This window comes from Homo sapiens, chromosome 7 (assembly GCF_000001405.40).
Source record: "Homo sapiens chromosome 7, GRCh38.p14 Primary Assembly".
Classification (NCBI taxonomy): domain Eukaryota; kingdom Metazoa; phylum Chordata; class Mammalia; order Primates; family Hominidae; genus Homo; species Homo sapiens.
Genome location: NC_000007.14, coordinates 147,410,335 through 147,428,726, shown reverse-complemented (window position 1 = coordinate 147,428,726; position 18,392 = coordinate 147,410,335). Strand labels below are relative to the sequence as shown.

At 37.2% G+C, this 18,392-nt stretch overlaps 1 protein-coding gene across 2 annotated transcripts in view, besides 1 other annotated feature; it reads right to left on the bottom strand.

Moving 5' to 3' along the window:
- The window catches only part of CNTNAP2 (contactin associated protein 2), a 2,304,198-nt gene that overhangs the window by 992,272 nt on the left and 1,293,534 nt on the right, over positions 1-18,392 (bottom strand). The window lies entirely within an intron of this gene.
- Positions 4,413-4,944: an enhancer, noted in NCBI's record as "OCT4-NANOG hESC enhancer chr7:147120875-147121406 (GRCh37/hg19 assembly coordinates)". NCBI's record gives its function as "activates a minimal SCP1, AML or CMV promoter by ChIP-STARR-seq in primed H9 embryonic stem cells {active_cell/tissue: H9 hESC(primed)}" and the evidence as "EXISTENCE:reporter gene assay evidence [ECO:0000049][PMID:30033119]".

The window sequence follows — 18,392 nt, the reverse complement described above, 5'->3', positions numbered from 1 at the left end:
ACAGGGGGATTCTTCCTCTTGTCTCCTTATCTTTCTAAAGCATGAATCTGTTTTAAGTGAATAATGGAAGTTCCAAAAGCAGAGAATCCAACTTATAAATACACTCTAAATCCTATGTAAAAGAAAGTGGTAACTTCCGTAGAACAAACTGAATAATAAACAACAATTAAGCTTCAGAAGAAAGGTCAACTATAAATTGAATCCTCCATTCTAGGGTAGAAGACAGTAGCAATCTAATTCAATGCAATTTATGTAACGCTAATTGTATTGCCAATTTTAATCATTAAATGAGAAGTATGAGATGAAAGAAAAGTGTGAGAGAGGGCCTTCATCTTACACTGTCTAGATGAAAAATGAAGATATCAAATAACAATACAAAGTAGTTTTATTACTAACTGAAAAAAAAGGCTGCAAAGTTAGTAAGGGCAAAGTCATTTAGCAAATATTTATTGAGTAGGTTATAAGGCTCAAGCCTTAGGCAAAGTGCTGAGGATTCATTGTAGGTTTGAGTATTCTGAGAAGTCTTCATGAGGAGGTAAACTGAAGCTAGACTATTTGTGATTGCCTCAATTTCCCCAGTTCATCATTCATCCAATGACAAATCAAGCTGTACTGTTACTGATTAGTATTTCTTTTAATATGAGCCAACTAAATCTACATTTACTTTGATTTATTTGTACTATTCTTTGCAACTGAAATTTTCACGTTTGAAAGATAATGTTACTATTTTTTTAATTTAACTGAAACCTAAAATTTAAAAATTTGCCAGATTTTCCTTGCCTTATACCCTTTCTTTTAGCATTCTTTTCTAAGATTTACATATTTAGGTTTGCATATAAACAGTAAAAGCCATCATAAACAAACAGTTGGGGTATGTCTAATGCAGCTTTAACATTGTCCTCTTTTGAAGTCCCAAAAAAGATAAAGGTTGATTGCCTGGAGCCCTCTTGGAAAATGAATAACAGGCAGAGAGTGCATGTACCTGCATTTGTAAATGGTAAAAGCATCTCTGAAAAATATCTATTTTTAGTTAGTACTTCTCTTCATGTACTTCATTGTGGCTGCCGTTCAATTCTCTCAGTTTTCAATGTGAATATGATGTAGTTTATGTACTCCTTGTTGTGTTCCCTATTGGTTATCTACCCACTAAAACACCCAATCTCTGACTTAACATTCAAAAACTCTCCATGACGGGGGCCTCCTGGTTTTATTTCTACATTTTATCCAAACTATTGTTAAACTTTCTCACATATCTCCATGCTCAGTCACCGTTGCCTCTGTTTGCTCTGATAAGAATCATATTGTTCAATGACCTTATCTTATCTCTATCTGTTGAAAGAACCCATATTCAATAAAGCCATTCCACATACTTCCAGGTAAGACTGATTTCTGTTTTGCAGTGGTTTGAATGATGGTGGCTTCTCCAAAATTCATGTTGAAACTTAATCCCCAATGCAACTGTATTAAGAAGTGTGACTTTTGGGAAGTGATTACAGCATGAGGGCCCTGAATGGGACTAACATCCTTATAAAAGGGTTCAAGAATACATGGAACACTCTCTTTCTCCAGGCCATCCTTTTCACCATGTGAGGAGACTGCATTCTTCTCCTCTGAAGGATGTAGCAATGAGGCACCATCTTGGAAGAAGAGCAATCCCCATCAGACACCAATCCTGCTGGTGCCTCGATTTTGGACTTCCCATCCTCCAGAACCATGATAAATATATTTCTATTGTTTATAAATTACCTAGTCTGTGGTATTTTGTTATAACAACACAAATGGACTGAGACAGTTGATTATCAAAAACCACCTGGCAATACATCTATTTGTGATGATTTTTATGTCACTTATATTTACAGGATGAGTATAAGAGTATTCATCCATCCATCCATCCATCCATCCAACAAAAACTAATTTATTCCCTAAAAATCTATCACAAACTTTTCCCCAGGTGAGACACTGAAGACATAGTGGTAAACAAAGCAGATTCATTCCCAGATCTTTTAAAACCTGACAGATTAATGAGGGAGGCAGACATTCTGTGAACAAGAAAAATCACAGATGTTTTAGATTAAAATGCTATGCCTTTGGAGCCATCACTTTTTAACATATTTTCTGTTCTATTCATGACATTAAGCACAGAAATTTATCTTGATGGACCTAGTTGTGCAGGATACATTAGAAAAAGTACAAACTCCTAGAATAGAAATTGAAAGAAATCTTTGCTCGGTGGAAAGGAATTATTAAACATTTTGACTGCCAGCTGATTTGAAACTTCAAGTACAGCTCCTGAGATCCACGGTCAGAGAAGTCATGTTCAAGAGTTTTATAATGATCATATCCAATGACAAATGTTCTGGATATCCATGATACAAACAAACACACACACCAAAGAAGCACTTAGTTGGTCTGTGACTTGAAGTTTTAATAATGAAATCACAACTGAGTAAGGTAAAAGCAACTCTATAAAAGATAATTAGGACCAATGAATATTTACAGATAAGATTTCTATTTAGGCTCTTTTTTATTTAAAAAAATAAAAAAGCACATTTGGCCAGCTTAAAGGTAAAGTACACCCTCCCTGTGTACACATCGTCACATATTCAGCCCTATTACTGACTGATACAGAATCTTGGTTTACAGGCATAGAATTCTGCTCAAGATAAAATTACCATTTACAAATTACTGATTTTTTAATCTCTAAATCTTAAATTCATGGGAAATGACATAGAACTATACAACATATCCTTATAAGATTTCTACAATAAAATGAATTTATAGATTAGCATTTTCAGTCAATTAACATTGAAGTTTTTGAGCTTTAAAATTCTGTTTAACGTTAGAATAAATGAAGTATGCATCAGAAGCTTCAGATGGAAATACCGTGTTAAACTGAGAATCAGAACAAAATCAAGTAACACATGATCAAATCAATAGGAAAATACATCTTCAATTAACAATGCTGACAAGAAGTTCAAAAAAATTCATCTCTTCGATATTTTCCATTTACCCTTCCTTGGGTATATGGACGAAGGATTCAGTAGAAGCATTCTTTATCAACAGATACAAAAATGAGAATTGTTATCAGAGAAAGATCCAGAAGTTAGGTAGCCATATTAAATTCCACATGGCTTGGTTTGACAATGGGGTGGAGAGCAAATAGATGATTGTGAGGTTGGGCTGGATGCTAGATCAGGGAGTTTCTAAAGATATTTATGGAATATTTTGTCTCTGCACTTTGGGGTTTTTCAGGAGAGTTGAGTGAGTTTTCTTACAGGATTTAAAAAAAATAATTACATATAAACCAGCTGTAACATGAAGGAGCAGTCTTTCTTTACCACAATGAGAGAGGCTGTAAGTAAAGCACCATGGTAATATTGCAAATACAACTTAAATCCTCTCTATTTTTCATACCTACCTAGCTAATTCCAATCCTGAACAGTGATTTTTTTTTTTTTAAAGGCAATGGTCATTGTGTGGAACAAGAAGGAGAATAACAATTTTTTTTTTTTGTCGTTTAGAAACACTTCTATTGAACATGCATTATTCTCATCATCTGAAAACGAAAACAATTTCTAAAAAAAAAAAAAATTCCACTTGCAAAACCTTTGGCTTTTACATTGAATGGGATGGGGATGAAAACATCTCATTGAAATGTATCACTCTGGCTGCTGTGCTAAAATTAGACCATGGGGACAGGGCATGGGTGAAAGCAGGAAGATCAACTGGAAGGTTATTGCAGCAGTCCATCCAACAGGTGGCCTAGAAGTGGATACAATGGAGATGAAGATAAATGACTGGATTCTGGGTATAAATTGAGGGTAGAGCCATTCCTGATAGGTTGGACTGGATGTGAAGGTCAAAAGGAAGAGTGAAAGATGAAGCTAAGGTTTTTGGTTTGAGTGAATAGATGAATGGAGTTGACATTTACTTGCATGGAGAAAACTGAGAGAGAAACATTTATTTTTAATGGTAGTTTGGTATTAGAAACAAAGAGTTTGAGATGTTTGTTAGACTGTGCTGACTGGGAGCAGGCAGTTGTGTGTAAGGTCTAAAACTCAATAGAGGATATAGCTAGAGAGATAAGTCAACATACAGATGGAATATGGAACTTGAATGAGATCTCCTAGGGAGTAGGTGTAGACAGGAAGCAGTATAAGTCCAAGGACTGAAACCTGGGGCTCTCCACTGTTTGGAAATGAGAAAATCGAGGAGACATCTAAATGAGAAGGAACAGTAGGTTTAGTAGGAGGAGAAGCAAGAGAGAGAGAGAAATACTAAGAAAACTACAAGAAAATGTTTCAAGAAAGACGGAATGATTTGTATCAAATGCTGCTGAAGGTAAGGATTGGGAATTTTCCACTAGATTTAGCAGCATGCAGATTGCTGATGACTTGACAGGGACTGATATGGTGGGGATGAAAGTCTTTTTGAAATAGGTTCAAAAAGAATGAGGCAAAAGAAAGTGAAAGCAATGATGATTGTTACTTTAAAAGAGAACAAGAAAATAAGTAGGTATTTTAAACAACTAGGAAATGTAATTGGCTGAAGAAGAAATGGGTAGATTGAAGGTATTGGGGGAGAGGAGGAAATGGAGCAGCGGAATGAAGTAGGATTGCAACACCAGGGTCCCACTGAAGGTTAGGAGCTATGAATTTAAAGTGAGACCAATCAGCATAGGTGTGTGGTTTTCCCCAGCCACATTCTTCCATTCTTCCCCCCAGGGAGATGCTGAAGCACAAGTTTCACTTAATCAGCATTGCTGTTTTTCTGAGCAAGTGTTAGGAAAGAGAGAGGAGCAAAGAAATCAAAGGTGATTGCAAGGGAGTCATAATGATAGAATGTGGGACTAAAGCTAAGTGGAAGGGAAGTGAGCACATGAGTGAACAAGACATAGATGTAACTTTTGTTAACAGTGAATTTAGAGAGCTGCAGGAAATGAGAAGCACAATTATGGAGTAGTTGTAGTTAATGATTATGTTGAGTTCCAGGAGATGATCTTGGAACTGAGTGATTAAGACATGCTGGAGGATGGTATCAATGGAGGAGGGCCAATATTTCAGAGATAGGTTCATTGAAAGAATGGTCTACATGGATATTGAAAACTCCAAAGAATACTACAAGAGGGTTATTGGATCATGGAGCAGTGAACCAGGCATTAAAATCTGCAAGGATGAGGAGGTGATGGGCCAAGGGTCTATACATTTCCATAGAGAGGAGGTTTAGTGAATTGTTTATTCCTTGAAGATACACACAGTGGACAAATGGTTTTGGAACCACTTCAAAAATGTAAGTAGTGTGTACTCTATAATTATGAAGATTATTCAAGGTCTGTTCATCATATTAAGCATTTTAATCAGGTTTTTCTTTGGGCATATAAATTACTGCATGGCCGATTCCATGATCCTTGAAACAAACATCAGCTAGCTAACCTAACTTAATTAAGAGACACCTATAAATTAAATTCTATGACTTTCATAACAACTACAGGTATTTCACAAGAACCTAATTTAGGGAATTAGGGAAAGAACTTTAAGGGTGGACAGAATGTGCCTTTTATTTTTCATCATGTGTCTTGCAATTAAAAGAAGTCCTTATATCTCCACCTGTTGTATAGGACACTTAGAGCCTGGTGGTGGTCGGCCTGCAAAGTCTTAGCAACTGCTATTCAGTTCCAGCATCTGTTCACACTTCTTGACTGGTCAGAAAAGTAGCTCGATCATTCATTATCTACAATTGATTTCTTACAAAGAAGTTAAAATTTTGTTGTTGTTTTTTTCTTTTGCCAACTTGTATGCAGTAAAGTTATATATAAAAAATTATCATTAGATATTTGCAATTGGAAAATTTGGCTCCAAAGCAATAATAACAAAGTATTTTGTGAGCTTAAAAATATGTTCAAGTATTTAAAGGGTTTTGAAAAACTACATTTACTACAAATATAATGCCACAGGAGGTAACTCTGATATGTTTACCACATCCATTTCAGTGAACTTAAAATTGATCCTCGATGTAAAGAAGGTATCCATACTAAAGTACGATTAAGTTTAGTTAATTATCTGTGACTATTTTCTGCTTAGATGGTATCAGTATTAATGATCCTCCTGAACTATCCCTTCAGTGTGTAAAAGAACTTAATTGAAGACATTGCATCTGTCAGGATCTAAACAGGGTCTAAACACCCCAGGAATGAGGCATAGGCTTATTTGCTTCATTATGGAATGATTATAAATTTAGGATAATAGCAGAGTAAAAAATTGCATAAGGGAATTTAAATATTATGAATTATATAATCAGTAGTTACACATATATCAGATTACATATATAGTATGTATATATACATACACAATGTATATACCGTATATATACACATACATAGTGTATAAATTCAGGGTAGAGCCATGGCTGAGAGGACTGGATGTGTGGATGAATATATGCTCAGTGTGTGTGTATATATACAGTATATATTGTGTGTATGAGTATACTATATACACACTATATATACAGTATATATATTGTGTATATATACATACTATATAGTGTATATATACATACTATATATATACTGTATATATACATACTATATATATATACTGTATATATACATACTATATATATATATACTGTATATATACTGTAGTTACACACACACACACTATTAGGCCATTCTCGAATTGCTATAAAGAAATGCCTAAGACTTGGTAATTTATTCAGAAAAGAGATTTAATTGGCTCACGGTCTATAGGCTGTACAAGAAACATGTTGACGGCATCTGCTCAACTTCTGGGGAGGTTTCAAGGAGCTTTACTTATGGAAAAAGGCCAAGAGGGAGCAAGCATCTCACAGGGCAAGAATGGGAGCAGGAGAGAGAGTTGAGGGGGCAGTGCCACACACCTCTAAATGACCAGGTCTCAAGTGAACACAGAGTGAGAGCTCATTCATTACCAAGGGAATGGCCCTAGCCATTGACAAGGGATCCACCCCCGTGACCCAAACACCTCCTACCAGGCCCCATTGATAACATTTTAACATGAGATTTGGGTGGGGAAAAATATCCAAACTATATCAATATCTATAGATGTATATATCTTTATGTATATATATCTCAGCATACACACACACACACACACACACACACACAGATTAGATAGACATACCAGGACATATCAGATCCCTAGATATTTTAATAATATTAAATATATATTTTATTTGTGTAATTTAGATAATGTGGATAAATACATTAGTTAATTGTATTTGTATTTTAACATTTTAAAATAGAATGGATGCTGTGACTATTTTGAATGAATAAAAGTGCTGTTAATCCTCCAATGTAACATTTCTACATGGAAAGAAACTCTACAATGTCTACCATCTATTAATATTTTTCTATCAAATTATATCACAGCAGTAGTTTCTATTTCTCTAATTTCAATATTTTTATATATATATGGCTGAGTTACTAGCAGAAACGTGGTTATTAGAAAATCCTCTCAGTGGAAATGAACTTTTAAAATAACATTTTACATGATGCTAAACACTGCTTTTCAGAACACCTACTCATTTGTTAGCTGCTAAAATAACAATGAGACAGTAATAGCTTAATTCAAAACAGTGATAATATGTAATGCATAAAGGTCAAACCCAAACTCTTTGAATAGAGATTTCATCTATGTTCCTTTTAAGTGTGTTTCTGTACTTCAGGGATAAGCTTTTTTTGTGAAGACTGCATTGCAATACTTTTCAAGAATTACTTCTTTATGATCCTCCTTTGGAGGTGAACATCAAAAAGAAAACACTCCTTAACCTCCTTCTTTGTCAAAAATTTTGTATTCTCCGAGGACTAGATTACAAACATTGACACAATTTCAGAGTCCTCCCCTAGAAACTCATGTCCACAGCTGGGTTCTGCAGTTAGAATGGTTGGTTACTTTCAGAAATTATTAATATAACATTAATACAGAGTAAAATTAATGACAAGTATTTTTTAATGTCAATCCTACACCATATAAAATCACTAACTGAATGCAACGTTAGTATTTCATAATTTCTTTAAAAAAATCTATTTATTTAAATGAATTTTTTGAGGGAGTAACTTTCAAATATGCAACCCTGCCTTGGTGCTGGCAAGGGGATGCTACCTGTTGCAGAAAGTGACAGAATGAAATCATAAATGTGATCTTTTGCTGTATCAAATACCATGGCACTTTTTCTGACCCTCAATAAATATCATTCAATGAATACATTAATTATTTGGAAATACTTGGGGAGCAATGTTGAACACATCCCATCTCTAACCTCATTTTGCTCTTCTGTTTCATTCCTCATGACAGCACTGCAATATTTAATGAAAATAATTAACTTTAATGTCACCAATTGTGGTACTCAAGATGTACTTTTTTGGTATTCAGAACACCAAATAATACTTTAAAAATTATACCTAATACCTTAGAATGACTGGGTGCTGCTGGAGGAAATATTTTTTATGACACCTCAATAGAGATGGCATTTCAACATATGACCCTCTCCGTATGCTGGACTTACAGTAAGTGCAAATTATTGCTCTCATTTCTAACAGTATACATTTGGCAAATGGTGCAATTTATAATCTTAGAAAGTGTATTCCATTAGCAAGTTTCTGTTTTTGTTTTTTGTACCTTGTCCCAATAGTTAACAATGAAATTATTCACAAAGATTAACTCGTGGCCCTGTGTGTCTAGTGGAATCTCTGCCTCTAAGCTTTATTTGATAAGATGTCTGGGTCGGGAAGGAAATTTGACTGCTGCTAGTGATCCACCCAGCACAGCAAGTGGCATAGCAAAGACTCAAGAAATACCTAATGACACCCAGATTAGAGAGTTTTGGAGAGATCACAATCTATAACTATTCTAGAACTTTGAGTCTGAATACATCCTGCAGACTCATGTGCTTCTTGGATCAAATCTGGGACCAGATCAAGAAGAATTATTTTCAAATTTGATGCAGTAATGTTGGTAATATACTAAGCCAACACCTACAAAAACACTGGTAGATAATCTAAATGGGAAACTCCAGCTGAGATGTATGCTAACCCTGTAAGAAAGCTTCCAAGAAACTGGAAGCCAAAATTTAAGCTCAGGCACAGGAAATATTGTAACTTCTGCCTTCTTTTTCCCTTGGTCTCAGTCTTCAATCATAATTGTAAAGAGGCAATTTATAAATGAAATTATTAAATAAAAATAAGGCATCTTGCTAGACAGTATGATGTGATGTAGAACATAGAGCTCATTTTTTTGTTCTTTTTAATATTCCAAATAAATATCAAGAACATAATTTCTCCTATACTCCTAGCCATATATCTTCATCTTTGTTGTTGAATATAAGGCCCACACAGCTAAAAATGCTGCCAGGAGGCTTTGGTGGTGGGAATGAGAGGGCAAGCAGGGACTCCTGTGGTGCCAAGCTCCAGCTTGAAAGCAACAGGGAACTTGCCTGCAGGCTGGAAGACAGCAGGGCAGGCAGGGCATAGAGAGAAGAGAGGAAGGCCTGGATTCTCCTCCCTGGGAAACAAACATTCACTCTGAAACCGTACACTTCAGTGGCTCTTACTGACTTGCTTATATCATATTTCATGTGGTGGCTATGGATTCAACCTTTGAATGCTCATTGAAATTTTTTTGGCATTGGAAATCTTTCTTCATAGATTATATTGGTTTTATTTTTAGGAAGCATGCTTTGAACCACAGTATTTCTGAGTCCGTTTAATAATGAGTACGTTCACCACTGAGTTCAGCAGAATTTTCATTCTTTATCAGACACAGTGGTCATGAAAGTTTCTTTAGACTTTGTTCCCCGGTGAGAATAAAGCTGGTGCTTCGAGGCTTGAAGACATTACCTAAAGCTTTTTACTTACCTCTAGATTCTATCCTAACTTGCAGTAAAGTAGACCGTTGTTAAATTTGTCCCACTTTCTTTTATAGAGAAAGTGACTTTTGTCCTTTGAATAAGCTGTATTGATTATTAATAGATGGCATGGGATAAGCCCATTTGCCAGTCAATTGTTTGAAAATCAGACCATATTTTTCCTTTTGCCATAGCAACATGCTATAATATAAGTGAACTTGTTTCCCAAGCCTAATCCTAATTACGACTCACTGTCCCTCATTTTTAGACTATCATTACTCTGGGGAAACACATTTGCAATTTTACATTAGGGTGCAGGAAAATTTTTCCCCACTAAGTGATAGCCTCAAAAATAATAAATTGTGTAAGATGAACAAGCCCAGACATTCTTGGTGTGACTTTATTTGTTCTCTTCATATCGATGTCTATATAATAAAAGGGATACCGTGGCTTATGTGTTCTGAAATGGAGAATAAAGGTCAATTTCAGAAGTCAGAATCAGAACTTTCCCAGTCCTGTTGACACAGATCATTCTTCCATTAAGGGCTCACACACCAGGAACCACCTGCTCAGTAAAAGCTGTGCTTTCATTTCCTTTATGAACAACAAAAACCACCAGAAATCAAACTTTTTGACTTTCCATCAATGAATCTTTTATTGTAGAAATTTTCAGGATGGGTTTAAGAAGAATATTATTCACTTAGAAAATAAGTAAGTACCATAGAACTATGCTTTCCATCGCTTTGTAAAACAGTGGGTATTGGCATATAATTGTTATTGTATGATTGTACTATTATGTAGTTATAAATGACTTTTACAGAACAAAGGAAAGAAATTACCTAGAGAAACATGAATTAACTCTTATTTCACTATGTTACTAATTGACTTCCCTTATTCATCAAACCAGTTTGATAGCAAATGTTTTATAATAATTGCGTGAACTTTTATGCAAACTTTAAATGGAACTCTTAAAAAACTTTCTCTAGATTTTAATTAATCTCAAATATTTAATACACTTTTGCATAACTTAAGCAATGGCTTATCTTTCTTTCTTGCCTGGGGCTCCTTGAGCTTTAATTAGTATGCAGCATATCTTATAAAATTTTGGTGTTGCTTTTAAGGAACAATAATTTTGATCCATTTAAACTCACCATCATCAGATACGGGTTCCATACAATAATAATTACATTGCTAAAGGAAAGAATAAAAATGAGAAAAGGAAAGGAAGTTTTCCAAAACTAAAATTTAACGTTTTCTTTGTAGACGTTCTCTAATGTGCAAAAGGTGAATGTTAGAGACTGAATGTTTATGTCCCCGCCAAAATTCATATATTGAAACCCAATCCCCAGTGTGATGGTATTAGGAGATGGGGCTTTTAGGAGGGCCCCACTTTCACGAATAGGATTAATGCTGTTATTTAAAAAAAGAAATTCCAGAGAGCTCCTTTGCCTGCCTAGCATGTGAGAACACTGCAAGAAGATGGCCATCCATGACCTGGGAAGCAAGCCTTCACCAGATGCCAGATCTGCCAGCGCTTTCAACTCAGGCTTCCCAGCCTCCACAACTGCGAGAAATAAATTTCTATCGTTTATGAGCTAGTCTATGGTATTCTGTTATAGCAGCCTGGATAAACTAAAACAATGAGTTATAATATTCTAAGCCTCTGTGATACATAACCGTGGTTGAGATGATACAGTCAAAAGGCAAAGATGATAATGAATATGCAGCATAAAATTGAATCTTTTTTTTTTTTTTTTTGAGACCAGAGTCTTGCTCTGTCGCTTAGGCTGGAGTGCAGTGGCGCAATCTCGGCTCACTGCAACCTCTGCCTCTTGGGTTCAAGCAATTCTGCTGCCTCAGCCTCCTGAGTAGCTGGGATTATAGGTGCACACCACTATGCCAGGCTAATTTTTGTATTTTTAGTAGAGATGGGGTTTCACCATGTTGGCCAGTCTGGTCTCAAACTCCTGAACTCAGGTGATCTGCCTGCCTTGGCCTCCCAAAGTGCTAGGATTACTGAGCCACTGCACACGGCCTCTAAAATTAAATCTTATGCAGATGTCCTAATACTGGTCCTACTGGTATCTGCAAGGCAGGAAAATGGATACAGGTCTTCAGAGAAGAACAGCAGCCCTCCCATCCAGCCCCAGAGGCTGGTTTATGGCTGGGCACTTGACCTAGCAGCCGAACCATATGTTGATGAGCAACATATTACTAGATTCTGGAGATAAAAGATAAATCGAGCCAACGAATTTCCTTTCTTAAATTTGAAATAAGATATGAAAACAGTTGGCCATTCTGAAACAAAGGGGACTGTGGAGGGATCTCAGGACAAAATATGGGGCACTGTGAACACTGGAGTTGTATTGGTTCTGATGGTTTCGGCTGTAAACCAAAAACCCAACTAAGTCTGCACTCACAAAAAAAGGAACTTTATTGGCTCAATGTGGAGTTGGGTGTAGACTTGATCCAGTGGCTTGACAGCCACCAAGATTGTGGTTTATTTCTCTTTCTGATTGTGTTCTCCACTTTGTCTTCAGTCCAAGGCCAAGCTGCTCATGATCACGCATGAGTTTCAGGCTGTGTGGCCTTAATCATGGGAATGTTCTTGAAATAGTCCCTGTGGCCACAGGTTGAGAAACTGATTGTAATTGAAGACAAATCAACTTCTCTGAACCCAAACAGAAAACAGAGGCTGATGGAAAGAAATAGGGTGTGAATCACCCACAGGAAGTCATTGCTGAGAAAGTAAGCAACATATGCCCATCACAGAATTTATAAGACTGCAAAAACTATAAGCAGAGAAATTCAGTTGGTTTGGGATTAAAGGAAACAGATAAGTGCAATACAGCTCAGATATTTTAATGCAGGGCGTTTGGGTGGAGATCCATGAATGCATACCTTTAAAGCTCTATTGAATCAAGAAGTTTCTCTAGTATAAGCCACAGGAGGGCTCACACTTATTAGGTAAGGTGACCATGCACCTTGGCCTGTCCGGTGTAGAATCAGTTCACACTTGTTACACTCCTTCCATGATTAAAAAAGGCCCGGTTTAACGGCAAATGATATGGTCATTCAATGGTTATGCTCCCTTGTTATGAATTTTCACATTTTTTTTCCTAATCATTCCATGTGTAGCTTTACAAGTTGTTCTTACTTGGTGTATTGGTCCATTTTTTTACTGCTATAAAAAACTACCTGAGACTGGGTAATTTATAAAGGAAAGAGGTGTAATTGACTCACAGTTCAGCATGGCTAGGGAGACCTCAGGAAACACAATCATGGCCGAAGGTGAAGGGGAAGCAAGGCACTTTCTTCAGAAGGCGGCAGGAAGGAGAAGTGATGAGTGAAAGAAGAAGAGCCGCTTAAAAAGTCATCAGATCTCGTGAGAGCTCACTATCAAGAACAGCATGGGGGAAACCATGCCCATGATTCAATTACCTCCACCTGGTCTCTCCCTTGACACGTGGGGATTATGGGGATGACAATTCAAGATGAGATTTGGGTAGGGACACAAAGCCTAACCTTATCAATTGGACTAGCTTGAACTGATCTCTGTAGAAGACATGTCTATTAGAAAGAAATTTCAAATTAAGTGGAAGGCAGGGCAGCACCCTTTAATAAGACAGACCAAGGTGGGAGAATAAGGGTGAGAGCTCTGAAAGAGGTGTCAGCATAAGCAATTGTATGCTCCCACCTGAAACCACATTTTGAGGGAGGTATACAAAGGTGTAGGGCTTTAGGGATTATTCTGTATGGCTGAGGGGAGTCTAGAACATTGTGTTCTGGTGACAGGTGATAGAGCCTTGACTTTGTCTTGCCCTCTTTGGGTTCTGTTTTCTATCAGTTCTCAGATAGAGAATCCATTTCTTTTTTTTCTTTTCTTTTTTTTTTTTTTTTTTTTTTGAGAAGGAGTCTCTCTCTTTCACCCAGGCTGGAGTGCAGTGGCGCGATCTCGGCTCACTGCAGGCTCCACCCCCCAAGGTTCACGCCATTCTCCTGCCTCAGCCTCCCGCGTAGCTGGGACTACAGGCGCCCACCACCTCGCCCAGCTAATTTTTTGTATTTTTAGTAGAGACGGGGTTTCACCTTGTTAGCCAGGATAGTCTCGATCTCCTGACCTCGTGATCCGCCCACCTTGGCCTCCCAAAGTGCTGGGATTACAGGCGTGAGCCACCGCACCTGGGAGAATCCATTTCTTAAATTCATTTGAATTTTATTGCATCTGTCTTTTTAGTTTGTTTATTCATAACTAAGAACTCTGACTTACAGTTCCTTGCAATGAAAGAGCCAAATTAAGAAAAAGCTGCTGATAGTGAATCAAAAAATAAGTCAGTCAATAAGTATCAAACAACTACACATTTAGATATTTTGTTATATTATATTGTTGGCATCCTTTTTTTTTTTTTTTTTTTAATGTTTTTGAGACAGACTCTTGCTCTGTTGCCCAGACTGGAGTGCAATACCACAGTCTCAGCTCATTGCAGCCCCTGCCTCCCAGGTACAAGCAATTCTCCTGCCTCAGCCTCCTGAGTAGCTGGGATCACAGTCACCTGCCACAGAGCCCAGCTAATCTTTATATTTTTAGCAGACACGGGTTTCAGCATGTTGGCCAAGCTGGTCTCGAACTCCTGATCGCAAGCGATCGGCCTGCCTTGGCCTCCCAAAGTGCTGGGATTACAGGTGTGAGCCACTGCGCCCAGCCTTTCTATGCATAGACACAGTGAGTGATTGAAAAACCATTTTCTGTTTCCATTGCTAATATGTAACGTAAAACATGACACTCCAAAGATAACAGGTGATACAAGTGAGAAACAGAAGTACATAAAGCTTTGAGCAAACTTCAGTTGGTTCCTACAGCCTTGCAAGCACTGTGCCAGACTATTTCAGGTGATTTCTACATCATCCCCATTACTTTATTTTCCCTGGAAATGGTAAGGGAAAAGAAAATAGGCTTTTCTGTTTTATAAACCATAACACACCAAAGGCCCACATCACTGATCTTTTTTGTCACTACCTGAGCTGCATTTTTCATGTATCTGGGGGCCCAGATGCAGAGGCTGGAGCTCTGCTGTGTTCAAGATGTGGCCCACAAGCAGCTGCAGCAACAGCATTTTGAAGCTTGTTAGAAAAGCAGAATCCCAGTGTTCTCTTCAATCACACTGAGCCAAACCTGTTTTGACAAGATCCCAGATGATCTGTATGCACCTAAAATATTGAGAAGTACTGAACTAAAATACTCATTCTCAAAAAAATATTGATTTATTCTTCATACATTTTTTTTTCTCTGCACCCCACGCTCACCTGCCTGAGCTTCCATCTCCAGCCAACTGCTCTCTCACTAATCCCTGTTATTGAGAGTACTCCTCTTGGCACAGATGTTTACCATGTAAATAACTTTTGGACTTTCATTTCCTTACTGATCTGTATCAACCGCCCTACCACATTCTCATTTTCCTTTCCAGGACTTCTTTAGAGAGTGTTGTCTTAGGGGAAAGCCTGTTGTGTTGGAACAAGCTACTGTTTTACCTTGAATACTTTTCTCCAACGCTTCCATTCCCTCGTGACATCCAAAATCTAGTTTCTCCATGAAGAAAACACTCTACAGTAAATTTTTCGATAGAAACCAGCTGTTTTCTTACTCAATTCACTGGCAAAGTAGAAGGGTGTAGAGCATTCCTTGACTCTAAGCCATTATTTTAAAACTATTTCCAGTAAACTCTTTTCCGATGTATGCACTTCTAGAATTTTCTGACCATTGACTCGAAGAGGATAGGTGGGAAGACACTGGTAGGAGAGTTTTAAGAATGAATGAGTTGACACGAGTTTCCATTCTAACAGGCAAAATGTGATGACAGTGTCTCTGGAATGTGTACACTTAACCACAAACATGTATGCACATTCCAAAAGTTTATGAATTCCTTGGACTACAGACTAAAGCATAAATTCTTAGAATGTTTTCTCAGGCATTCTGAGAATTTTGGGCAACTTCTTATTTCAGCTGTGTCACATGCCTTAGTTTATATAGTCCATTTTTCCAAGACAGCCTTGCCCTATATTATCTGATATGAGCCTTTCTGTCCTGGAAGGACCAGTTTTAATTCTATTTCACTCATAAAGCATTGCTAAATCCCTCCATTTAGAATTGTTCTTTTCCTTCTTTATAATTTCATAGTCCTTTTTTATGCTACTATTATATTTTTCCATTCATTCTATAAAAAATGTATTTAGAACATATTGCGTATCAAGCACTGTGTTAGGCACAGAGACACAGTGGGGCATGAGCTCAGGCCTGTTTCCCATTCTTGGGAAGCTCAAAGTCTAGAAGAAGAAAAGATGTAATTACAGTCTTGAATGTGTGATTATAAACAGGTTAAAAAGTGCCTAACCCAGTCTTACAGATCCTGAGATGGCTCCCCTAATGGAGTTTATCTATGAATTGAGATATGAAGGATAAGAAAGCAAGAGACAGAGACAGAGATGGGTGGTGGGGTGAAGCAATTCTAGACCCAGAGATCAGTACAGGCAGGGGCCCCACTGAAAGAACATCTGAGGCACTGAGCACAGGCCAGCGTGGCTAGAGGGGATGGAGGAGAGTGATGTGAGATGAAGCTGCAAAGGAAGACAAAGGCCAGACCACAAGAGGCTAATACACTGCTTTTAAGGATCTGGGTCTTTTTCTTAAGGGCAATAAGAAGTTACTGATGAATTTCGAGTAGGAGGTCAGAATAAGAACTAGATACCTCTGCCACTCTCTTATGAAATCCTTGAAGGGAGGCTGGATCATCTTCACTCTTGAATACCCTAAAATGTCGATTGTCTAAGCCTGAAGTTTGATAACTATATTTTAAATTTTTGGAGGAAAAATATAAAATATATGGTTTGAATAAGATAAATGCTGCATCAAATATTTTTTTCTGGAAGCATGCACTTTTTTACTATTTATATTTTATAATCTTTCGAAACATCAACTGGGCAGAGAGTGCTATCTATCTCATTACAGATTTTCCTCTTCCTTCCTAGTGATAATCCTCAAAGTTTTAGCAGGCATATTACCACCTAGAATGAAACTGTAATTCTCAGTCTATCTTGCAACTCTGTGGTTGTGATTAAATCTGGCTAATGAGATATGATTGAAAATGTTGCACGGAACTTCTGGAATGGCTTTTTAAAACGGAAGGTGGACCCTCCTACTTTCTTTATGAAAATCAGATGAAATTTCTGGAGTTCTAGCAGCAATCTTAATCACTGGGAAAATAGAAACCATGAGCTAAGGAAACTGGAGCAGAATGTTTGAGTCTGGGTCTCGGATCGCTTTCTAGATATATTATACAAAGCCTGAATTGTCTATTTCAGACATCTTACATGTGCAGAAATAAACTTCAGATTTGCCTGGAAAACTGATTGGGTCTCTGTTCCTAACAGCTGAAAGCACTTTCTTACTGAGACCCAAACTTTCACTTCAAGGATGATGAATTATACACAGTTGTGTAACTGACAGATACTTTACTAGAAAAAATTAATCTTTGAGCCAGGAAAGTTCTAACTTGTGCTCAATTAAAATACCATCTTAATTTAGGCCACATTTTTTTTCCCATTGAATACTTCTTATTTTATTTTTAATGAACAGGGAATTAATATTCTGGGAGAAAACCAACACATCTGGCTTCTAAGTCTGTAAAGATATTCTCTGGAGATGGTATTGCAAATACACTTAGGCTTAAGAAAACTTCTAACTAATGAAAAGGGACTGTGATTTCAGAATGATGCCAGTTTCACAGACATTCTGGGGATCTGCATTGTCTCTGAGATAAAACAGTTATAAAGGACAACTTGTTGAGTCCTATCAGAAGTTGCGAGGATCTCTTTACTCATCTGTGGACAAGACCAACAAAGAAGCTAGGGCACTCATTCTTGCAATACAGCATCCAGCTGGAACTACCTAGAGAAAGATTCCAGAACAGCACTAATATTAATAACTTGTGAGCCACATGCCATATGTAGCTTAAAATCTTATGGAGGTGACAATAATATTAATATTTTATTTAACACAAAATAAAATGAATACAAAAATGATCAATGAGCTGTCTTATATTCCTGTGTGTGTATGAAGTATTCACAATCTGTTGTGCATTTTACACTAACATCACGTCTCAGTTAGAACAGCTGCTTTTTAAGTGTGAAATAGCCACATATGGCTAGTGGCTGCAGTATTAGAGAGTATAGCTCTGCACATCTTCTGCTTTCCTTTTTAATCCAGTATCTCACTACCTGCATTTCTTTGTGGTTGTTTTTGTTTTGTTTTAACTTTAAGTTCAGGTGCTCATGTGCAGGTTTGTTACACAGGTAAACTAGTGTCATGGGTGTTTGTTGTACAGATTATTTCATCACCTAGGTAATGAGCCTAGTACCCATTAGTTATTTTTCCTGATCCTCTCCCTCCTCCCATCCTTCACTCTCTGACAGGCCCCAGTGTGTGGTTTTCCCCTCTATGTGTCCATGTGTTCTCATTA